Raw genomic sequence first — 24860 nt, 5'->3', positions numbered from 1 at the left:
TTCAATACCTGTTTTCAATTTTGATGTTTAGACCACATATATTGTTGGGTCATAAGGTAATTCTGGATTTAACCCTCTGAGGAACTAACAAACTGTTTTTCACCATTTTACATTCTTCTAGCAATGTACAAGTGTTGCAGTTTTTCCACATTCTCACCAATACTTGTTATTTTCTTGCTTGCTTGCTTGGTTTCTTGCTTTTTTTAAAAAATGAGGTCTTGCTTTGCCAATGGGGCTAGAGTGCAGTGGCATGATAATAGCTCACTGTAACCTTGAACTCCTGGGCTCAAGCAATCCTCCTGCCTCGCCTCCTGAGTAGGTGGGACTAAAGGTGCTTGCCACCACACTCGGCTAATTTTTTTTATTATTTGTAGAGATGGAGGTCTCACTATGTTGCCCAGGCTGGTCTCAAACCCCTAGACTTGAGTGATCCTCCCACTTCAACCTCCCAAAGCACTGGGATTATAAGCATGAGCCACTGCACTCAGCCTGTTTTCTATTTTTTCATTATAGCCATTCACAATCATCTGACTATGATTTTTTTTTTTTTTTTGAAACAGGGTCTCACTCTGTTGCCCAGGCTGGAGTGCAGTGGCGTGATAATAGCTCATTGCTGCCTCAACATCCCAGCCTCAAGTGATCCTTCCCACCTCAGCCTCCTGGGTAGCTGGGACCACAGGCATATGCCACTATACCCAGCTAATTTTGTTTATTTTTGTAGATAAAAGGTCTTACTATGTTGCCCAGGCTGGACTTGAACTCCTTGCTCAAACAGTCCTCCCACTTTAGCCTCCTAAAGTGCTGGGTTTACAGGCATGAGCTGCCACACCCAGCCTGACTGCAATTTTGATTTGCATTTCTCTGATGACTAGTGATTTTGAGCATCATTTCATATACTTATTGGACATTTGTATATCTCCTTCAGAGAAATGCCTATTCAAATACTTTACCCATGTTTTAATTGCATCATTTACTTTTTTATTGTTGAGTTGCAAGAGTTCTTTATGTATTCTGGATACAAGTCATTTACCAGACATGATTTACAATAATCCTCTCCCATTCTGTAAAGGCTGGATTATTTGTCATGTGCGGCCACAGAAGTCCCTGCTTAGTTAGTTTAGTGATCACCTAATTGATTGGATGGAGAGTTCCTTAAATGCCTTGAACTAATACTTTTCCCAGCCTTTGCCAAGGGGCTCTGTGTGTGTGTTACGCCCATCTTCAGTGCTCCGGCCAGCAGTTTACAGCTCTGCTTTAGCCTTTACTTTCTGCTTGCACCAAAGCTCCAAGTCAGCCAGAGGTGAGACAGGAGGGCCTTCTTACATCTTTCCTGGGCAGGCTCACAGCCCTGCACAACCATTTGGGCTCCTCAGTTCTCAGGAATCTGTCAGAGCTTTTCAAAGTCCTGGACATCTCATTCCCCAGTTTTTCCTTTGAAGTTTTTTGGTCAGGCTCTTGTTAGCTCCGAATGATATTGCTGTCTCAAGTAGCTATAATGTTAAACAATTGCTACTGATTGATTTTAACAAACATCCTGGAGACAGGGCCATCCACACAGAGTAAACTTTGAGTCGGATTAAACAAAGACAACCCGGAAAATGGAGTCGTTGAAGGAGCTGCCAGACAGGGCAAATAGTGACCATTCTCTTACGCATGGGGTTTTTCAGGAGCTCTGAACCCATCCTGCCCCTTGCTAAGTGGCTGATTTTCACAAGTACCATAGGTACTGTCGGTTTTCAGAGTTACCCCAGAGCTGGGGCAAGGGGCACAAGAGTGAAAAAGCACATAGCTTGCTGTTCTTACCAAGATTCAGCTATGTTTTATTGTTGTTGTTGTTGTTGTTGTTGTTGTTTGTTGTTTGGGAGGGTGGAGGGGCAGGGTATTGTTGTTTGGGGTTTTTTGTTGTTGTTTATTGTTTTTACTTTTTAGAGACAGAGTCTCGCTCTGTCACCCAGACTGGAGTGCAATGGCGTGATCATAGCTTGCTACAGCCTCAAACTCTTGGGCTCAAGCAATCCTCCTGCCTCAGCCTACTAAGTGAGACTACAGGCACATGCCATCATGCCTGGCTAATATTTTAATTTTATTTTTTTTGGTAGAGACAAGAGTCTTGCTATGTTTCCCAGGCTGGTTTCAAACTTCTGGCTCAAGCAGTCCTTCTGCCTTGGCCTACCAAAGTGCTGAGATTAAAGACTTGAGCCACCACTCCTGGATGTTTGTTTGTTTTTATTGAATGCTCCTCAGAATGTTGCAAGCCTGTGGTTAATTTCTGGCATTCTGAAACCGTTGCTTTTGACTCTTTTTGCCAGTATTGTTGTTGCTTTTATGGAGGAGTAGATCTTCAGAGGTCTTTACTTTGCCATTCCACATCCTATCTTCTTGATGAAGACACTCGCTTTTCTAAAACTTCTCCAGTTCCTAAACATCCTAGCTAATTCTTGGCAGATGAGTTTACCATGAAGCAGGTCATCTGATGGGTGTTCTTTTAGCTCCTCCTACATACTTCTCTCTTTCTGTTTTCCTATACTACAGAATACCTGTCTGTTTCCCTTCCCAAGACTTCTCTTTCTGTCCCTTCCCATCTTCACAAGGATCTGATCTAACAATGATTTACTCTCTCACCACTTCTTCAATCTTTCCCCTTCCCTTATTGAGAGACCTCTTTTTTCTCCCTACAAGCATGCTGTAGTTGTCCCTATGCTGAAAAAGGAAAGAAAATCTTCCTTCCACTTGAGAGCCCCTGCAGCTCCTACTCTATCCCTCCACTCTCTTTCATCCCTAGACTATATTTGCCTCAAGTAGAGTCTCTATGCACAGCTTCTACTTGATAATAACAGCTAACACTCACTGAGGATGTGCTATGCTGGGTTTTGTGCTAAATGCTCTACCTGAATTGTTTCATTTAGTTATCCCAACAATCTTACAAGAAAATCATACCCATTTCCTAGATAAGAATACTGATCTTTAGTAAGGTTAAATGACTTGTCCAAGTTCACATGCCTTGTAAAAGAGAGCATATTTCTAACCCAAACTGACCTGGCATGAAAGCCTATATCCTTTTTTGATAACTCCCAAAGGCATTTCTCTAATGAGGGAGTTCAACACTGGCCAAGGGGAGGGATGGAGAGGGTGCCTCCCCACACCTTCTGGGTGGTCTGTCTGACCCTCCCTCAGTGCCAGGCCTGTCCAGGTACACCATCACTCTGTCTTGTCGCTGCCCTCCCATCGCCTATCCTCCCCTAGGATCTGGAGGAGAAAGTGCAGCTGTACAGTCAGAGCTGGCTGTAAAACTTGGCTTCAGCATCGAGTTCAACTATGGGAAATTAGTAACCTTGTCTGTAAAATGAACTCAAGAGAACAACCTCATAACATTGTCGTAATCACATCTGGAAAAGTACCTGGCACATAGTAGGCCCTCACATCTTATTAGCTTTCTTGCCCATAAACCCCTGCAGTATAATATGACATTTCTTCTCATTTCTGTATTGAATAGGCTCTCTTGAAAAGCACCAGTGATATATCTTCTAAGCACCAAATCCAGTTCCACCTTTTCTCAGCTATCAGCCACCTTGACACATGTACAGCATGTTCTGGTTGTCATAGAAGAGATTATCCCTATTGCTCTTAATTAAGGTCCCCAAACTAGAAAATGTCCCCTAATTCACTGATGTAGAAGGCTTTTGGAAAGTTCAGCTCAGCAGTTCTCAACCAGAATGTGCATTCAAACCACACAAGGGCATCATTACTGCATATTCCCAGGTCCCCGGCAGCTCTGAGCCCTTGACCTAGAATGGGGTTCAAGCTGTGCTTAGAAAACTGGAGCACATGTGAGTCCTATGATTCAGTTCTGGAATTGGAAAAAAATCATTGTAATAATTTAAAATTGAAATGTCCTCACCTGTGAGCCTGTGGCTTATACAAGTAAAGAGATACTCACAAGATTGTGTAATCACTGATGGGACATATTAAAGAAGATAAGAGACACTAGAAAATAGAGTAGGACCAACAAGCAGGAAGGAGCTCTCCAGAGGCTCGAGGGCAGCAAAAGCCAAGGCAAAGCAGGAGGCACCTGAGTCACAGAGGAGAGAAGGCAGGCCCAGGTTCTAAGCACCCCAGGGCTAGGGTGTTTTGTGACTGTGAAAAAGCCCCTGCGGGTGACTCTGCTTCAGGCTCCATGTCCCTACATCACTGGTGCTGCCTGTTTCTTAAGCATGAAGAGAGAGAAGCCAAAGGCAGGCTGCCGAGGGTACCCAGGTGTCCAGGACAGTGAGGCGTGCCTGGGAGGCTGGGGTGACTGCAGGCATCACCAGAGTGGGCAAGCTGTGATCTGAGCTGACCTGTCCTTTTCCCTCACAGGGCTTGCCGTGATGGAGGTGGCCCCCTCCTTCTCCAGTGTCCTGAAGGACTGCGCTGTTATTGAGGGCCAGGATTTTGTGCTGCAGTGCTCCGTACGGGGGACCCCAGTGCCCCGGATCACTTGGCTGCTGAATGGTGAGTTCCCCCTGCCCCAGCTCTCTGCTCCCATCCCCTGGGCCCTTTGGCGCTGCCTGAATTCTCACTTATCCCTCTGAGCCATTTATGCCTTGGACATCCTGGTGGTATGAGAAGGAAGCACAGGGCACAAAGAGAGCACGGGCACTGGGATCCTGCTCCCGACTGGCTGAGCAAGTTACTACTCCTGTCTGAGCCTTGAGTTCTCCATCTACATGGCAGGAATCATGCTGCCTATGTGCAGGGTGGTGGTTGTGAAATTAAATTAGATTATTTCTATAAAGTGGTTAATGAGATGCCTGACACATAGGGGCATGAGCAGTTGGATTTCTTTTCTTATGGCCAAACTCATAGTAGGCCCTCAATTAATATTTATTGAGTCAATAAATGAACAAATAAATGAATAAACTAATGAACCACTCTCAAAGTCGCATGAGGGATCTTACCTTTTATTTAGTGGCAGGTGGTTCTGGGACTCACAGACCAGTTATTCTTTTTAAACTGATAGTCCTATAGAGACTCGCCAACTCTTTTTTTTGTCAAGTAAGGTCCTTTAAAAAATTATTTGCCGTATATTATCACCCTTTTCTTTTTAAAGGACCATTTAATTTCAACAGTGTGGGAGAACTCTGACTTTAGAAGACTGAGAACTGTCCATTAAACTGATAAGATGGAGCAGGGACTACTGTGGGGATCCCCAGGGAGGGTGAAAGAGCCCCTGCTGAGAGTCAGGAGACACAGGCACTTGTCCTTCTCCACCACTGAGTGGTCGGGTGACCTTGGACACTTCACCCCTCGGGGTACCAGCTTCTTTATCTATGAGAAGATAGGGTGGAAAAGAAGGTTTGGGATCTCAGCTCACTCTCATACCTAATAGAATACACTCCTTAAGACAGCAGTGGGCCAGGTGTGGTGGCTCATGCCTGTAATCCGCACTTTGGGAGGCTGAGGTGGGTGGATCACCTGAGGTCAGGAGTTCGAGACCAGCCTGGCCAACATGATGAGACCCCCATCTCTACTAAAAATACAAAACTTAGCCGAACATGGTGCCAGGTGCCTGTAATCCCAGCTACTCCGGAGGCTAGGCAGGAGAATCGCTTGAACCCAGAAGCCAGAGGTTGCAGTGAGCCGAGATTGCGCCATTGCACTCCAGCCTGGGTGACAAGAGCAAAACTCCAATAAATAAATAAATAAATAAATGAAAGAGCGAGCAAGCGAGCGAGCAGTGGTCCCCAACACTTATGCACCAAATAGTCCCCATTTGTGTCTGCGTCATTGATGTATTGCCTGTGAACCTTCCTTGTTGGTGTAGTTTGCTCAGGCTTTGCTAGAAGCTGTCTTTAGTGAGTAAGAGGAAGTGCCATCTAGTCTTCCTACATGTAGTGTTCTTGGGTAGGTAAGTGAGAATTGAGGTCTGCCTTCCCTCCCAGCCCTTAGCAAAGGACAGAAGTCCTATTGGATCCAGTGATTGACTTCAAGGAGGCAGCCTCCTTGTGGCTGGAATGCAATATGGGCGTTAAGGACTAATAACGGAGTCTAGACTAAGTATCAACAAACATTTTCTATAAAGGGCCAGGTAGTAGCTATTTTCAGCTTTTCAGGCCATACAGCCTCTTTAACAACTCTCAACTCTGCTGTTGTGGTATAAAAGCAGCCATAGGAGGCTGGGCGCAGTGGCCCACTCCTGTAATCCCAGCACTCTGGGAGGCCAAGGCAGGTGGATTGCCTGAGCTCAGGAGTTCAAGACCAGCCTGGCCAACACAGTGAACCTGTCTCTACAAAAAAAAAAAAAAAAAAAAAAAAAGCAAAACTTAGCCAGGCTTAGCAAAACTTAGCCACTGCACTCCAACCTGGGTAATAAGAGTGAGACCCTGTCTCAAAAAGTAAAAGAATAGACAATACATAAGCCATAGACAATAAGTGAAAGAACGAGTGTGGCTATGTTGCAGTAAAACTTTATGAATACTGAAATGTGAGTTTCACATAATTTTTACATATCATGAGATATATTAATTACCTTTATATTTTTCGGCCATTTAAAATATGTAAAAACTATTCTTAGCTTGCAGGCGCTACAAAAACAAGCTGCAATTAGCATTCTGCCCAGGAGCCATAGCTTGCTGTCTCCTAGTTTATACATCACTCAAGACGGTGTTTTCTCAGCGACTCTTAGCGTTTCCACACCCATTCCACTAGAGGGCGATCATGCTCAAGTTGGGTTTCCTTGGCTGCTAACTTTAGTTTAACCCAGCCTCCGAGCTGGGAGAGCCTAATGTCTCCCAATTCTGATGTGCCCTGAGCCAACAGCTCCTTTCTGGGGCCTCCATCCCATCCCATGTTTGTGGGGCCACAGTGAGTTACGTTCCAGTTAAAGGAGAGCTCTCAAAAGGCTTGTCAGCACATGTTTGGACAGAAGAGACACATTGGCGGCAGTCAGGGAATACACTGGTATTGTCAAGGAAGAGAGGTTTGGAGGGTACCATTGTGACAAAAAGTAAAAACAAAGAGCAGTGCTCACTTCTCTCAGTGGCAGGATCCAGGCCCCTGCCTTTCCCAGCCCTCGGCCCCACTTTTATGAAATGCAATAGGTTGAGAGGAATCTTCCCCTCTAGTCCTATGATGTGCTTGCTGGTCTCTTTGCCAAACTGTCATGGAGACATGAAGTGTTGCTATGTGCAGAAGAAAACACTGCATTGCAGGGAGACGACTTCTTTCTGTACTGTCTCCCTTCCCCACTGGCCGACCCCAATTTTATGAAGTGCAAACCAGGACCCTGGGGCCTGGCAAGGGAAGAAACTGACAGTTGCTTCCTATATGGCAGCTGGACACATTCCTGCTCCGAGGACAGACTCTTCAGTAATGAGATTTTTTTTTTCCTGGAAATGAAAAGTCACATCCCAGAATGATAAACTCCCAGGAACATAGAGCATTAAGGAAACCACTGAAGCTCATTGCATGCACTCCTGTCTCCATGCAGGACTTTATGTTACCTGGAACATGTCACATGTAAGGGACTCTGGAAAAAAGGAGCCGAGTCATTTTTAGTTCCCTATATTTATCTTTTCTGTGAACCCTAAAATACACCTAATTGCATAGAAGAAACGCACCTAACTGCAACAGTGGGTGGGGGATGCAGAATTGCTTTTTGATAAATATCTACAGTGGAAAATTGAATCGTTGTTTCTGGAGACATCTAAGTGGAGCTGGGCACCCCATGTTCAGCCTGGGAAAGCTCCGTTTTGCCTGAGGCTGGGCTATGGGCCAGATGACCGTGTAAAAGTCTCTCCAGGCTCAGAATTCTGTGAAGTTGAGGATGTGGATTTGGAGACTGTTTAACACAGAATGCCCAAAACTCTGTCCCTTTCCCTCCTGCATTTTTAATTCCTCCAGATTCTCCCTCCCCCATCCCTCTAGGCCCCGTCTTCCTCCTCCACCACACAATTACTCCCTTTCCTTCATCTCCTTAGCCCCTGGCTCTTTCTCCAGCCCATAAGCCTCTGTCCAGCTGGCTGGAGATGTGCATGGTACATCATTAGCCCTCAGTGGATCTGAGCAAGCATGACAAGTCTCAGCGTCATGACAGCAGCAGCCCTGCTGAGGACAGGGCTCCCGTCCCTACTGCCAGTGCTGCCTGGCCTGAGCCTTCCTGTGCTTCCTCCACAGGGCAGCCCATCCAGTACGCTCGCTCCACCTGCGAGGCCGGCGTGGCTGAGCTCCACATCCAGGATGCCCTGCCGGAGGACCATGGCACCTACACCTGCCTAGCTGAGAATGCCTTGGGGCAGGTGTCCTGCAGCGCCTGGGTCACCGTCCATGGTAGGAGCCTCTGGGCACCTGGGTAGAAGCACCTTTCCTGCAGGCACTTCTGCTTTGGAGGAAGGGCACATTTGTAGAAAATGGTATCATGAGCTCAAATCCAGGGAGCAGAGGTGCACATGGCACTACTCCACACCACTGGCAGCGGCAGGTGCCGTGACAGAGGAGTGGCTGCTGCAACCTCTTAGGGACAGAGGAGAGGGTCCTTAAAAAGTGCTGCACCTGCAGGTAGGAAGTGAGGGAGATGACCTCCAGGAGTTCACAGCGACAAGGGTGTCATCAGAGGTGGCCTTTTCCTCACCCCCTCACTCCACTGGGGCCATGGAAAGGTATGGGGGAAAGAGATAGGGCTCCCTTAGCTCCAGAAGCTCCAGGTCTGGTCAGAAGAAAACCTCGCACACTACAAAAGGACTTGGGAGAGCACTCACGTATTCCCTGAACAGTCAGTGGCCTCCCAGTGACCCCTTACATGCTGGGGGACCCTGGGTCACAGCGTGCACACTGAGGCTTCCAGAGGGTCACAGGTTGTCCCCTTTCTGCCCCCCTTCTACTCACGGGCCCAGGCTTGTTTTTACACATCAGCAGCCTGGTCTCCAGTAATCTGATTATCATGGTCATCCATTCATCAGCCAAGCACTTAGTCCCCGGGAACTGCAGGGAGCCTCAGACTCAAGACAGATCTGTCTGGGCTGTGGTATCAGCAGGCCTGGTGACAGTTCCCGTGGAAGTGCTTCTTGGGTCCAGGGCTTTCAGGTAAGCCTGATCCCACCATCACCCTGAGCCTATGCCCCCGGCTCCTGTGCATGACTGGGTCCTCTGGTGCTAGCACTGAGTGCAGCGTGACTGGTCTCCCATCAGACAAGCAGGAGGATACATCTCTCCATTCCCCGGGGCTCAGGCCTGTCAGGAACATCTCCGTGTTGTATGAGTAGCCACTGTCTGGGAGGCTGCAGGAGGAAGTTTCGCAGAAAAGGAAAGGGGAAGAAACATTTGTGGCTTACTGTGTTAAATACTTTCACCTCACCCGTATTCTCTCACTGAGACCTCAGTAGCCTAGGGGACAAGGATGCTGTCCTGATTTCAGACAGAAGGCTCTGGAAGTCTCGGGAATTGAATGTAACTTGCCTAAGCGCATCACGTTAGTCTGCAAAGCTGCACCCTGGAGCCCACAGCCTGTGACTTTCAAGTCTGTGCTCATTCCTATGCCCTGACCTTTTTCAGAGGACACATCCCCTGGCTCAAAGGGGAAGACTGGCCACTGTGGGCTGGGCAGTGTCAGTCCCTTAGGGATGAAGGAACTGGCACTGATGGAGAATGTGACTGACGCTGGCTCTGTGAAGCTCTCTGCCGGGAGTGAGCACGAGAAACTGGTCCACCCCTTCCTTCCAGGAAACCCACCACACTGGGTTCAGAGCCCAGCTCTGGCCTCTGGGAATTTGCAGCCAGATTCTGGTTTACAAACTTACTCATTTATCCTCATAGTTCTAACTTCATGACTCCCTGGGAGCCAGGTGGGGAGCTCAGGAAATTGTGATAATGAGATTTCAGAGGAAACCTGAACTGCTGAGAACCTTGTCTCTGAGGTCCAGGAAGCAGGACTCACCTGGGGGCTCTTCTTGGAGGCCAGCGTGGCCAACCCCAGAGTCAAGTAAGGGGCAGCAAGAGTCAGAATGCTACACGTAGAGCCGCCGTGGCTCAGCCCTCTGTTTTCTGATACTCCCTCCACAGCCACAGCCAAGGACTAATCCAATGTCTGTCCTGGCTTGCCTGTGTTTAGATTGGATTAGAGTGACCCAGCTGAGCTAAGAGTCCCCTGGAGGTGGGAGTCCCAGGCAAAGGATCAAGAATTCTTTAGGGCCATCCTCCTGACTCCCGGGCCTGTGGGGGCTGGGACCTGAAGGATCACCACCCATCCAAAGGAAAACAAAAAGCACAGAGAGGTCCCAGGCAAAAACTCTGCCAAGGAAGTTTGGATTTGCTCGGAGAAGAGGCCTGCATGACAGAACCCCCTCCCAGTGTGGGGGATGTACTGGGCTATAAAGACCAGACAGGCTCAGATACCATAAATGGTGAACAAGGCTGAAGACGCAGCCGCACGCTCAGGCCCGGCAGCATTTGGGCTCTTGGCATAGGATTGGAGCAGGGTGAGCCTGGCACAGCGACACCCCCTGGCACGGTGCCCTGAGACACTCAGGAGGCTCGGGGCTGCTCCCTGCGCTGTCCTCTGCTGTGGAGTTTTTCTGACTTGATTGGCAGCCCCGTTGGCTCTGGATCCTCGGGACAAGCCTGGGCTGGGGGAGATGATCACAGTGGAGGTGTTTGTTCCCTACTGCACTGATGGCTGCTTCACCCCTCCCTTAGCTGTCCAGGTCCAGCCCTCTCTTGCCCTTAGTGTGGCACCAGGCCACGGTGGGGAGCATGGATGTGGAGCCAGCGGCCTGGGTGTGAGTCCTGCTCTGCCACTTACTAGCCCTGCACCCTGGCGTTTTAGCATTCCAGACCTCAGCTTCCTCTTGTGTGAAATGGAGATGCTGACAGTCGCGGTACTGTGAGGATTAAGTGAATGAATGTGCAAAGTATCCCCAGAGCATAGGATAGCACACACCCTCCATAGGTATGTGCTGTGATTATGATTGTCCAGCAGAGCCCACCTTTAAACAAGATACAATCCTTACAAATGCCAAGACTGAGGAGGGGTTTTCCCAAAGGATCCACTTTGCTACAGTATTGTGTGTTTGTTTGGCCATCAGAGAATCAGAGGAGGGAGGTGTCCAGCCAGACACAAGCCATGAACACTCGTGCCTGCTTCCAAGGGCTCTGGCCACAAGGTGGCACCATGCAGCAACGCGTGTCCCTCCAGTTGTCTTCTCTCGGGGGTGGTTGAGGGGCAGCTCTGCTGCAAGCAAGCTTATTCTGAGAGCTCAGCAGATACCGTGCCAAAGGCCAGATGCAGGGGCTCTTTCTCACCTCTCGCCTTTTGCCGAGATTTTGCAATCATCGAGATTGCTGGTGCAGCCCTCAGACGCGATTTCTGCAGCCAGCCCTTCATGCTTTCTCTGCCTTCCCTCCTCAGTGACTCTCTTCTTCTCCAAATCCTGGAAACTCCCACAAATGTCACTTTCTCTGGGAAGCCTACCCTAATCACCCCAGAATGCGTTCCCTGAACACCGTGTGCTTCTAGTATTACACTTACTTATCAACAAGTCTTTACTGCGCGCCTATATTGATCAGTGCCAGGCATTGTTCTGGGGAAACTGCAGTAGACAGGACAGCTGAGGGCCCTGCCTGCAGGGTGCTTACGTTCTGATGAGGATGCCAGCAGCAGTCAGCACCTGGCCTCATTTCAAATGCTGGCACGTGCTGTTAAGAACATGAGCAGGTCACAAAGGAATAATTATAAAGAGAAAAAGCCAGTGAGTGGGGTGTGTGAATCGAGGAGGGTGAGAGGGTGTATCTTTAGTGCTGTGAGGAAGCCTCAGAGGTGTCCATGGCCTGGGGAAAGAGAGCTCTAGGTGGGCAGCACAGCAAGTGCAAGGCCCTGAGTCAGGAGCAAGGTTGACCCATTCGAGGAGTAGCAAGACAGCAGCCTCTGTGGCTGCAGCAAAGTAGACGGGGCAGTGTGATAGAAAGTGAGTTCAGAATGCGGGGGCTCACCATTCCAGGCCTCTGGAGGAGAGGAGAAAACAATTTACTCCGTGAAAATTCACTTTCATTTTACTCTACTTGCTTAATTATCTTCCTCTCCACACTGTAAGCTCCCTGCAGGGAGGGATCACGTCATACTGTGTGTAGAGCCAGGCCTGCCATGGGAGCATGCATTCCCTGAATGGATGAGAGCACAGAGGTTGCCGAACCTCCCCTGCAGTGCAGGGAGGCATTCCCTAGAATTCCTCGCTTTTCTGGGGGCTCAGTGCCCATTAGGGTGTGCAGGAAATCTGCAAATTACCTTCAAGAGTCCCTCAACAGGGCTAGGCACAGTGTCTCATGCCTGTAATCCCAGCACTTTGGGAGGCCAAGGCAGGTGGATCTCTTGAGCCGAGGAGTTCGAGACCACCTTGGGCAACACGGCAACACACCGTCTCCACAAAAAACACAAAAATTAGCCGGGAGTGGTGGCCCATGCCTCTAGTCCCAGCTACTCAGGAGGCTGAGGCAGGAGGATTGCTTGAGCCTGCGAGGTCGAGACTGCAGTTGCAGTGAGCCGTAATCACACCACTGGACTCCAGCCTGGATGACAGAGCAAGACCCTGTCTCAAAAAAAAAAAAAAAAAAAAAAAAAAAAAAAAAAGAGTCCCTCAACAAATATTCCTTCTTTCCCCAACACAGGCTAGGGAAAAAAAATTCCCCAATAGTTAACCAAGCAATGAATGTCTTTCCTCCTGACCCAGGATGAGTCCTGATCCAGGATGATTAATTCAAATTCCTGCAGAGCCCAGGAATATCTGAAATACAGTATATATTTCACAGCGTTTGGACTGAGTCATTGCTGGGGGCTTCCTTGGGCTAGAATATTTAAAATTTTTTCCCCCTGGAGTATCTCCATCAAGGCTAAAATTCTTAAGTGTCTAGATTTATTAATAGCCTGCCAGTTGTGCCCATTTGACATAGTTTCTCAGCCTAACGGTTTGTTTATTTAACTGAAGGCCTAGTGGGCCTGTTTAAGGCATCTAAGGACATAAAATGTGGGTAGGTTAAAAAGATGAAAAGATCATCTCTAGAATAGATAATAAAATATAACAAGCATATTTATTAGAGTATTTGTTTTGATGCAGAGCTTCTAATGAAGACAACAGGCATCAGTGAAGTCAGCGTTTGCTTGGCAATGAGTAGAGGCACAGTTTGTTTTCAGATTAATACCAGGCACTCTGCGGGGCAGCCTGGAGCCACCTCCTTTGTCTTCCCTGGTTATGCACAGGTACTTTGGACACTATACAATCTATCCAGTTAACATAACGTATGGATCCTGACCTCCTCAAGCTTAAAAACACTGACAACTTCTTAAATACTTACATTGGCTACAGAAAAATATATTGAAGAAGAATAAATACCAGTTTTAACTTGCCTTTTTTATATATATTAAGAAGCTTAGTTTATTCAAAACATCTGTCCACAAGCCTTTAAACTGTAAGAAGGCAAGCAATTAATTACATGTTAAAATTTATAACCAATATTTTCATTTTATGTAGGTTGAGTACAGAATTGGGTTTGTGTACCACATGGGTTCTTTGTGTTACAGAAAGACTTCTGAGCATATACATGTACGTTTGTGCCCATGCCATAGAATTTGAGCCTCATTTTACTAATAGGGCCATTATAGAGCTTTATAACTCTCCACCTCTACAGCCCATAGTCAGTCATAATTACATAGAGACCCAGATCAAGAATGCTATCCAGAATCGCAGGATTGAGCTCCTAGTGGCAAAATGTGACCCATGTGATGACAGTGTAACTGAGAGTGTGGCTTCCAGGCCCGCACTGGGAGGGAACAGTGGGTGGTTTGGATGCCATACCTTTATGTTTAGAGTGTGATTATAGCTTCTAAGACAGTGGAAAGGCTGTGGTTTCAGTGATCCTTGCTTCCCAGCTAGCAACCCTATCATTACTGGTCAGAGATCTTTTTTGGGATATTATACGTCATTGTTCCTTTCATTCTTTTCCTCGCACACTTCTCTTCCCATTTGCTTCTTAAGTTCTGGGAGGAAGGGAGGCCAAAAGAAAACAAGGCTATGGGAGGAAAAATCCTTTTAATGCCACAAAGTAGCCATTTTGCTGACTTCAAGAAGGTTCTGTTTGGTTAGGAGACAGACTTTTGTTTAAGGGGAATTCAGATGCCCCGGGGATTTACAGCTTGCACAAACCCCCTGGAAATGGGAAGGGGCTGTGTGGCGTGTCAGCAGGGAGAATGTAACTCTTCTTTGATGAATCCTCCAGAGTTAACAATCCTGGAATTTAGGGAAAGGAGGAGGCTGGTGGTGATCCCTGGACCATGCTGGATTTTGAACTCCAAATAAAGAAAGATGGGGGCACTGTGCTTCCATGGTGCCCCCTCAATTGGTGATCTGTTGAATTTCCATAGTATAACAGGGTTTGGAGTGAATCAGAATTGCTGTTGGAATGGCATTTTGCATTGTAATAACTAAGGAATACAGCTCATGTTCAAAGCCTAAGGAAAATATTTGGTAGATCCAAGATTAAGGCAAACATGTGTTGAATGCAAATTTGGATCCAGGACCTTGGGGCTTCAGAAAGTAGCAAGTTGACCAGCAAATGTTGGCAGGTAGAAAAACACACTTATAAGGAGAAATTCAGAATTTAGTTGTTTTTCCTACTAAAACAACGGAAAGAAAAGGAAGGGCTGTGAAGGGAAGACAGGAGAATTATTGTAGTGCAGAAGGAGATGGCAGATCCTGGTCAGCCACCAGGACAAAGGCAACAGTGGGTTCCTAGTGTCAGGTCCTAGAGGAGGTAAAGGCCTCACTCCTGGTGCTGGGTTTGAAGAAGAGGCTTTACTGGTTATTTTATAAGAAGAATTAGTGCAAGAGGTAGCAAACTGCTCCTAACTCTTCCTCTAAATAAAAGCTTTCCAAAACGCCATGTTGGGTATCAATTTATATTAGGTTTTTAAAGTAAAACCACTATCAATTTGTTTTTAAGAAGGAATTGTTTGATAGGAAAGTCTAATTGGCTAGAAAAGCTGGCTTGTTTTATTTAATTCTCACAACAACTCCACTTGACACTTCCGAATTCACTTTACAGATGAAGAAAGTGATGCTCAGGAGGTGATGTCAGCTGCCCACAGTAGTCCAGGTGATCAGCAGCAGCACCAGGCCACCACCTGCTTCAGCCCATGGGCTTTCTGCATGGCTGCTCTTGGATCCTGATAGGTCATTTGTTTGATGCTTTTGCTTCACCAGAGCGATCATTTCATGTTTAGTTTCATGACTAGGAACTGGCTTCAAAAACAACTTCTAGTGAGTCAAAAACAGCCAAAATGGCAAGGACGGAAAAACTCCATGGGTCAGTAGAATCATAAAGGGGAGAGTGCGTATATCTGTCTGTCTCTCATTCTCTCCCCCTTCCTTTGCTTCCCTTTTCCCCCTCTCTCTTCCTCACATTGCCTCTTTTTCTTTCTCTTCTCTCTGTTCTTCCCTTTCTCCATTCTTGCTCTTTCTTAAGTCCTATTAACAGCTTCGTCTACATGGCATCGTTTTTACTTGTCAGCAATCTGCTTGGGCTTATTCTTAGTCATTGTGCTTGTCTTTCCCATTGGACGACAGCCCGATCAATCCTTTTCCATTCTGTCAAAATGGGACAGTGGCAGTTTAATGACTGAGTCCAGGAGTGAATTGGCTAATACCAAGTAACAGAGCAACAGATAAATGCACTTTAGATCCTTAATCCTAGGCAAGGAAAGCAAGGAGACTCAGCCCTTTCTGCACTCCAGAAAGAAGGCCCTCTCTGGGCTCAGTCTCAGCAGAGCAGCAGGAAGCACAGCTGTGGGGAAACCCGGGGTATATTTAGTTTGGCCCCATTTGAGCTGGGCAAGTCTGTCACTGGGTCTCAGCAAAGCATCCCTTGCTATTTGTGTGCCATGGCCAGTGGGTGTCCTCCCAAGACGAAGAAGTCTTGGGCTCTCTGAGACAACCTTGTCACTGGGGGCCTCTTGCCTCAGACCCTGGTCCTTAAACCAGGATGATGCTAGAAGGAGGCCAAGGACAAGCAGAGAGGAGTGACTCCCAGGGTAATGGGTAGCTCTGGACATGAATATGGATGATGACAGAAAGCTCCTCACAGAATTGAGACCTGCCTCTGCTCCCAGGACAGTCAAGGGAAAGCACCCAGACCAGGACCCCACCAGCAGCATCTCCCTCCTCATGGGGCATCGCAGCCCCAGGACCTTAGGACAGGCGAGCTTCTTTCTCTGAGTCTCAGCTCCCTCCACTGTAAAACAGACACAATCTGCCCAATACTTCCGAGATGTTGAGGGTAACACTGAATTAGCTATGAACATCTTTTGGAATCCTGGAGCGCTGGGCTTTATAAGGAATCATCGTTACATGAAAGTTCTGGTTTGGGGGGTTTTTCTCATTGGAGTTATTATCAGGTTGAATTTCCACAACCAAAGGAGTTAGTTGGGTTGGGAAAGTCAGAAAACATTGATTTTTATACTGCTTGTGTGCCATGTATTGTTCTAGCTGTTTTATATGTTACTTTCTAATCATCTAAAACCCTGCAATATTACCATGCATTAGACTGATGATGCAGACATCATACTTCTCAGTATTATGTTGCCATAAGTTTGGAGGAGAGAACACCGAGGCTTGCTTTGGGAAGGTTGCTTCAGATCACACAGCCAGGGCCACGAGTTAAGAATGCCAGTTTCCATCTGTCCTTTCGTATTTTACTTAAGTCCACAGAAGAGTGAGCAGAAACTGATAGAGGCTAGAGGCCAGAGATGAGCCAGAATAATTTGTTTGGCTTTGGAATGAATTGCAATACACACACACACACACACACACACACACACACACACACACACACACACACATTGTGTTGCTCTTTTCACCTGGCTTGTCTCTGTTCTGCTTTAGTTTTTCTCAGTTGTCAAGGATCTAGGATGTGGGTCAGCTGACAGTGTGTTTGTCCTGGAGCGGTCACCATGGGCACCGTTGGAGGAGACTGGTTCCCTTTGAAGGGACGCCTACGTAACATCCCGGCCTTGTCATCAGAAGGCCTGGGCATGAGCTCTGGGTCTGCCCACACTGGCCCCATGATGTTAGCCAAGTCACTTCCCGTTAGTTAAGTCTCTCCTGGTCTCTACACCAGTACAGTGGAATGGTGAGTTGGGACTGGGTCCCACCTTGCCGGTCTGAGAACAGGCTCGTTCTGAACATTCACTCCCAATCATTTCCATCTTCCCTTCTTTCTTGCTGTAGGGCTTTGGGGAACAAAACACAGGACCGGGGGCAATGAGTGACACCGAACTAAATGTCTGCCGATCGGCCGGTTTCCCCCAAGTTCACTCACTCATCTCCTGGAGGGGGTGCAATGAAAGCTTGTCCTCAATTTACTTTGAGATATATCCCATGATATTTTTAAGCAACGCATTTGTATTCCTAATAGTATTTGCCTCAGGTCCTATAAAAATGAGTCCATAATCCTTGGGTGAAGCCCAGACTCCATTGGTTCTTTGACTGCTGATAAACCCATTGAGTAATTGAGCCCAAGTGGATAGATGTGAGTCAGTTCTCATGCTAGGCTCGTACAAATGTTCTCATTGATAATGAATGGTTGTACAAAGTATTTTTACCTATTATCTCTTTAAAACTACCCAAAGTCCTGTGATGATACCACGACTCCCCGTAGAGACCGATGAGGAAGTGGGGCTTCAGACGGAGGCAGACTTGCCTGAGGCCAGGATCCCCTCCACAGCTGCAGGTGGAACCAGTGAGCTGCCAGGTGGGAGGCAGCTCCCAGGCCACCCTTTCATGCATACTTCTGAGCTCCCAGGGGAGGGAGAGGCAGATAGGCTTTTAGTCCCCAATGGCTGAGACCCACAGGGTGACTTGGCTTTGCCAAACCCCCAGGAAACAGGGGCTGTGGGAAGAACCCAGAGAAGGTGGGGTTGAAGAGGAGACTGCCACAGGCTTAAAGGGGAGTGCGCTGGAGTTGGTGACGTTCCCGTAGCATCTAGGAATTTGAGCCCATCTGCATGAAGCTCTGTAAGGCTGGGGACTCGCTGAGATTGCAGAGAGGCAGGAACAGGGAATGCTATAGAAAGACAAAAACATTTTGTCCTTGAGCCTTCTCAGTCTGTGCAAGACAGGAAATTCCTCAACTCTCCCGAGGCAGCCAGCTCTCCTGACTGCTGCAGCCTAGTGAGAGAAACGAGATAGATCAATGCATTTCCAATCCTGTGCCCCCAAGCCCACTCCCAGAGCTTCTGCCAAGGCCCCTGGCGGCCCTCCATCGAAGGCTGCGGTGCTGAGTCAGCAGCACCAGAGAGCAGCAGGGGCCTGAGAGCCCCATCTTCCAAGGGGACCGTGGGGGGTTACCTGCTCTCACACTCAGGCTCCATGCCCTTCAACTGCACCTGCTTTGGGGGAAGTTTTCCTCCAGCCTCCTGGACCTTCCCAGCCTCTCCCCATCCAGGTTCCCAGAGGCTGGGCTAGGAGAGTTCTACAGTAGGCCTGCTTTCATTTTCAGTGGCAGTGGATAAAAATTCGGTGGCAACTTTGGAGGTGACACCTGCCCAGATACATTACATACCCTGGAAACCTCCCCATGGCTCCACTTCCTGAAGAAGGTCTAGTATTTGTGGTCCTGTGTTGAGAAGAACCCAAAATGCCTGTGGCCCTTTCCCCAGAAACTTAGGGTTTAAGTTAGAGATATCCTAACCCTCCCTTTCTCAACAGTTGAACCTGCCAAAAACAAAAACAAAAATTGCTAAAATGGCATTACTGAAAGTCAAGCTGCCTGGCTCACAGAACCAAGGGAGAGACCAGAGGCTGGGCAGCCATGGCTTGTCCTGCACCAGGATTGTTCCCTGTGAGACGTGGATGGCAGGGCCAGCCACTCTGCAGTCCCCTCCCCTTCAGCTCCTGTGAGGCAGGGATTCTAAGCATGAGGAAAGGCTGTTCACCCACCTCCACAAGAAACTGAATGTGAGTGAGGCGCCAGGCCTCTCACCCTCCTCCTTGACTTGCCGACACACTCCCTGTCTCAGAGAAATTGATTTTTTCTCCCAGTTTTTATTGAGGTATTATTGATGTACAATAAACTATGGAGACTTAAGGTGTTCAGTTTGATAAGTTTTGACATATGCACACACATGAAACCTTTGCCATGATTTTTAAAAGTGAAATTCTCATTGTCCCCAAATGTTTCCTCATGCCCCTTTATAATCCAACCCCCCGTCCCCTGCCCCACACCACTACTGACCTGCTTTCTGTCACTGGACTTTGCATTTTCTAGAATTTTATATAAATGGAGTCATCCAACATGCACTCTCTCTTTGGCATCTTCCTTTTTTTTTTTGAGACAGAATCTTGCTCTGTCTCCCAGGCTGGAGTGCAGTGGTGTGATCATGGCTTACTGCAGCCTCAACCTCCCAGGCTCAAGTGATCCTCCCACCTCAGCCTCCCAAGTAGCTGGGACTACAGCTTGGTGTCTTTCATTCAACATAATTATTGTGAGATTCATCCCTGTTGCGGTACCCTCAGTAGTTCATTCTTTTGTGTTGCTGAGTAATATTCCATTGTGTGGATATATCACAATTTGTTTTACTCACCTGTTAATGGACATTTGGGTCATTTCTAGTTTGCAGCTATTGTGAATGAAGCTGCTCTGAATGTTTGTGTACAAGACTTTGTATGGATATGTGCTTGCGTTTCTCTCAGGGACATACCCAGGAGTAGCATGACTAGATCCTAAGGGAAGTATATGTTTAACTTTTTAAGAAACTGCCAAAATGTTTTCAGAAGGTTCTGTACCACCTGCCATGTATGAGAGATGCAAGTTTTTCCACATCCTTGTCAAGACCAATTCCTGGGATGTGATGTCTTTTTATTTTTAGCCATTCTAATGAGTGTAGTGTCTTTGGCTTTTGTGAGGTGCTTAAAACCTCCTAGGATGGGAATGGAGCACCATATAATTATCGAAAATGACAAAGAAGCTCTTCAGTTCTGTCTTATGAGAGACACCAAGATGTATTGTTAAAGGGATGCCAAGCATTTTGTGTAACGTGCTTTCATTTACTTTTTTAAGAAGAAAATAAATGCCTGTTTGCTTCTATATGTTACACACGTAGATCATTTCTGGCAAGATGAACAAGAAACTGAAAACTCGTTGCCTCTGAGGAGAGATCACTGGTGGCTGGGGGATGGGGTGGGAGGGAGACTTGCCATACTCTTTGGTACCTTTTGAATTTTGTGCCATGTGAGTGTATCATTTATCTGAAAAATAAATAAAATATTTTTTAAAACTCACAAACTTATAAGAACTCATTGTTCATTCCTGGCTATCAGGCAAGAACATCGTCATTGCCAAGCAGAGAAATGGGAGGCATCTTGTTCCTAATGATCTCTAGAAACTCCAAACACTCTTTATCTGTTAGCTGCCAGTTTCTGGTGGGAACTGAGCATCAACACAGTCATGTACCAAGTGGTCATTTAGTCTGTGTTTGTTGAATGAATGCATGAATGTTCACCCCACGTTCTGTTTTCTACCACACAGAAAAGAAGAGTAGCAGGAAGAGTGAGTACCTTCTGCCTGTGGCTCCCAGCAAGCCCACTGCACCCATCTTCCTGCAGGGCCTCTCTGATCTCAAAGTCATGGATGGAAGCCAGGTCACTATGACTGTCCAAGTGTCAGGTCTGTCTCTGCAGCTCTCTCTTGGGGATTAACATGAAAATGGTCTTGGTTGCAATGGGTATTGCTCTCCGAGGACCCGCTCAGATCCTTGATCCACCAGAAAATCAGATGGGACCATCAGGTGATGGACCCAAAGAAATGGAGACTCTTGTCCTCTCTTTTCTGCCTTCTCTGGGTAGGATTTTCTGGATTCATGATTAAATGGTCCAGAGGAAGAAGATGGCCATAGAGCTAGAGCAGTGAAAGATTAATTTGAAAATATAGTGTGGCCAGTGTAGCTGGAAGGTTTTGAAGACTGGTACAAAACCAGATTATGGGCCGGGCACGGTGGCTCACGCCTGTAATCCCAGCACTTTGTGAGGCCGAGGCAGCAGATCACAAGGTCAGGAGATCGAGACCATCCTGGCTAACACGGTGAAACCCTGTCTCTACTAAAAAATACAAAAAATTAGCTGGGTGTGGTGGCCGGTGCCTGTAGTCCCAGCTACTCGGGAGGCTGAGGCAGGAGAATGGCGTGAACCTGGGAGGTGGAGCTTGCAGTGAGCCGAGATCGCACCACTGCACTGCAGCCTGGGCGACAGAGCAAAGACTCTGTCTCAAAAAAAAAAAAAAAAAAAAAAATTATGTGAGAACTTCCCAAATCTCAGAAGATGTTCTCAGTTGCACTATTCAAATTTTAAGGTCCTCCCAACAAACCCATGAGGTAGATCCTGTTTGAATTCCTATTTTACTGATGGGGAAGTGAAAGCATAGAGAGTTGTTGGAGTGTTTCATCCAATATCACTGCATTCAGCGCAGAGTTGCTGCATGGCCGGGGAGGACCTCCCTAACCAATCCCCCTTCCCCTCCTCCTGGTTCAGGGAATCCACCCCCTGAAGTCATCTGGCTGCACAATGGGAATGAGATCCAAGAGTCAGAGGACTTCCACTTTGAACAGAGAGGAACTCAGCACAGCCTTTGTATCCAGGAAGTGTTCCCGGAGGACACGGGCACGTACACCTGCGAGGCCTGGAACAGCGCTGGAGAGGTCCGCACCCAGGCCGTGCTCACGGTACAAGGTGAGGCTGACCCACTCAGAGCGAGTGGGAAGGAGATGCTGCTGCAGCCCCTCCAAAAGTGATTTGGAGGCAAGGAAACCACATGAGGCTACTTTGTTCCCACTGAGGGCCCTCTCGTCCCTCAGTCCCACCCCAGCCCCAGAGGCCAGCTCCCTGTCCAACATCACAAGCTCTGACTGAGTGGGGCTGCCTTTCCCAGCTTTCTGAAGTCCCTGCCCTCTCTGGGTTACTGGTGCCAAGGTGCATAGAGTACTAAGAGGGAAATCTGTAATACACTTAACAATTTGGCAGCGATAGATTTTGAGGTGAGTTATAGGCTTAACAGGGTCCTTGCCATTAGATAACATATTTAAGAGGAGAGGCAAGTTAAGCACACATAAAGTGAGTGACAACTCTTAATCACACGCATTGGATACAGATCATTAGCACCTGGCTCGGTGCCCCGTGCCTTCTGGGCTACCTCCCCTTACATTGGATATACAGTCATGTTAATATTATCCTCTGAGAATGTATCCGAGATGGATGTGCAATGAGAAGGGTGTGCTGCATTTGTGTATCCAATCACAGTGATTTCTGGACAATCTGTTACTTGGGTGACATGCTATCTTCCCATCCTTCACCTCCATGGAGAATTGAGTGGACACTGCCTGCTGAGGGACATCCCTGTTTAGCTCTGCCCTTTGCCAATTTCCAGAGCCTCACGATGGCACCCAGCCCTGGTTCATCAGTAAGCCTCGCTCAGTGACAGCCTCCCTGGGCCAGAGTGTCCTCATCTCCTGCGCCATAGCTGGTGACCCCTTTCCTACCGTGCACTGGCTCAGAGATGGCAAAGCCCTCTGCAAAGACACTGGCCACTTCGAGGTGCTTCAGAATGAGGACGTGTTCACCCTGGTTCTAAAGAAGGTGCAGCCCTGGCATGCCGGCCAGTATGAGATCCTGCTCAAGTGAGTCTGCATGTCCAGCCAGCCTCCCTTAACCCTTCCCTCCAAATTCCTAGCTCCCCTAACCTGGGTCTGGGCAGCCAGAAGAAGCACAAACTGATGTGGGGCTTGGACTTCCAGGTAAAGCAAGTGCGGGCTCAGTGCTGCTCACAAGCTTTTGCTTCTTCCACTTCAGTATAGCAAATGTTCATTAGAACTTTCCCTTTTGAGCTCAGTTCCCCAGAATCCTGTCTTGTTACATCCTTGTTCCCCCATTATGTGGTGTATGGTGAGTATGAAGGAAGGAGGAATGGATCAAAGTTGGAAAAGCAGGGGGATAGGGGGAATGCATTTGTTATCTGTTGCTGTGTAACAAATTACCCTGAAACTTAGCAGCTTGAAACATTTATCATCTCCCAGCTGGGAATTTGGAAGCAGCTTAGCTGGATGATTTTGAAGTTTCAGTCAAGATGTCAGCAGGGGCTGCAGTTTCTGAAGGCCTGACGGACACTGGAGGATCTGCTTCCAAGGCTCACTCCCGTGACTGTGGCAGGAGGCCTCAGCTCCTCACTGGTTGTAGGTGGGAGGCCTCGGCTCCTCACTGGCTGTTGGTGGGAGGACTCAGCTCCTTGCGTTGTGGACCTCTCCGTGGGGCTGCTTGAGTGTCTTTTTTAGCATGGCAGCTGGCTTCCCCAGAGCTAGTGATCGAAGAGGGAGCCCAGGTCAGAGCTTGCAGTGTCTTTTAAGACCTACCCTTGGAAGCCACACGCCATCACTTCCGACTTTGTTAGAAGTGAGTCACTAAGTACAGCCCGTACTCAAGGGGAGGTAAATTCAGTTCCACCTCTTGGAGAGAAGAATTTGCAGACATTTTAAAACTACCACAGGGAGGCTACCTTTCCCCATTACTTTTTTCTCTCCTTTTCAAGGGCTTGCTAGGTTACATGGGAAGGTCAGCTCCATGAGGCACACTGCTACATTTCCATGAGGCACACTGCTACATTTCCATGAGGCACACTGCTACATTTCCATGAGGCACACTGCTACATTTCCAGGCCTGGAACAGTGGAGAGCCCATAGTCGACATTGGGTAGCTATTTATTAGATGAATGTGATTCAGAAATGCTCTTTTACCTTGAAAATGCCCTGTCTCTTAAAATCCTATGCCAGCCCTGGATTGATGGAGACAGAATGCCTTCTGTGGGTCCTGGGGTTGGTGTAAGCATCGAAGAAGAGCATTTGTTTGCACCTAACCTACAAATAGGAGGTCGTGCCACATCCTGAGGATGGTTAGACCTGTCCTGGCCCGGGTGCCTGACCACTTTGCAAGGGGCTTTCTCGCCTGTACTTTATCATCTCCCCATGCTGAGCCCATCATGTTCACAGCTCTGAGCTACAAATAAGCTCTAGAGCTAAATGCCAAGGCTACTGCAAAACCCAATATGTACCCCATCCCCTTAGGTCCTTTGTGACCATGTGCTTTATACCTGAATCAGTTATCTTTTGCTGCATAACGAACCACCCCAATACTTAATAACTATTAAAAATAGCTCGTTTATTTTTAAAGCAGTTTCATTATTTCTTAGGAGTCTTTGGGTCTCCTATAAAGTTCTGCTGATTTAGGCAAGGCTAATCTCAGCTGAGCTCAATGACATGTCTGTTGTGGTCAAGTGATGGGATGCTTGTGAGCTGCTGGTCCCCCTACTATTATTAGCGGTACACTCAGAATGCATCAACTGCCTTTGCATTATGCTTGAACTAGTTATTACCAGGAAGGCCACTCTGCCTCCAAAATGGGGAGAAGGTACACGCTTACCCCCTAGGTCAGTACAAAGAATGGAAACCGATGATGTGTAAAAATACCTGCTGATGATCTCGTCAGTATAGAAGGAGTAGCACTTTGAGATAATACTTACATTACTCAAGCCAGACATCCTAGAGGAGATGAGCTTGTTTGGGGATTTTGATGGAAAAGGAAGGCTGAATCTTGGCAAATGTGATAAGGCTTAGCTGTTGAGTAGGCCGAGCAAGAAAGGGTGGGGTGGGGGCAGAGCCAAGCAAAGGGCTGTGGGAAGTTTGCCAGGCCAGAGAGGAGGCGTGCACCAGGAGGTCGGCAGGCAGACTGTCTGGGGCCAGCTGGGGACAGTCATAAAATTTAGACTGTCCCAGCAGGAAGGGGCTTCAGAAGTTATCCAGCCTCATC

The 24860-nt window shown here is 47.7% G+C and overlaps 1 protein-coding gene and 1 long non-coding RNA gene across 22 annotated transcripts in view; one reads left to right on the top strand and one right to left on the bottom strand.

The window, feature by feature from the left end:
- MYLK (myosin light chain kinase) overlaps window positions 1-24860 on the top strand; it is a 274284-nt gene that overhangs the window by 153898 nt on the left and 95526 nt on the right. For all 17 annotated transcript variants that reach the window (XM_047448184.1, XM_024453532.2, NM_001321309.2 and 14 more), the window contains 5 exons: window positions 4357-4491; window positions 8155-8307; window positions 20542-20679; window positions 21540-21737; window positions 22432-22681. In XM_047448184.1, the coding sequence (XP_047304140.1) occupies window positions 4357-4491; window positions 8155-8307; window positions 20542-20679; window positions 21540-21737; window positions 22432-22681 (874 nt within the window). The remainder of the gene's footprint in view (window positions 1-4356; window positions 4492-8154; window positions 8308-20541; window positions 20680-21539; window positions 21738-22431; window positions 22682-24860) is intronic.
- The window catches only part of LOC105369194 (uncharacterized), a 23585-nt gene continuing 12759 nt past the window's right edge, over window positions 14035-24860 (bottom strand). For 3 of the 5 annotated variants that reach the window (XR_924417.4, XR_007096036.1, XR_007096037.1), the window contains one exon: window positions 14035-18078. This is a non-coding gene — a long non-coding RNA (uncharacterized LOC105369194). Of the gene's footprint in view, window positions 18183-24860 lie in introns of all 5 variants that reach the window. The other 2 variants (XR_001740871.3, XR_924418.4) reach the window with 2 other exon arrangements.

The sequence above is a fragment of the Homo sapiens genome, chromosome 3 (assembly GCF_000001405.40).
Source record: "Homo sapiens chromosome 3, GRCh38.p14 Primary Assembly".
NCBI classification, from domain to species: domain Eukaryota; kingdom Metazoa; phylum Chordata; class Mammalia; order Primates; family Hominidae; genus Homo; species Homo sapiens.
Note: the sequence above shows the minus strand (reverse complement) of the source record. Positions and strands in the feature narration are given on the sequence as shown.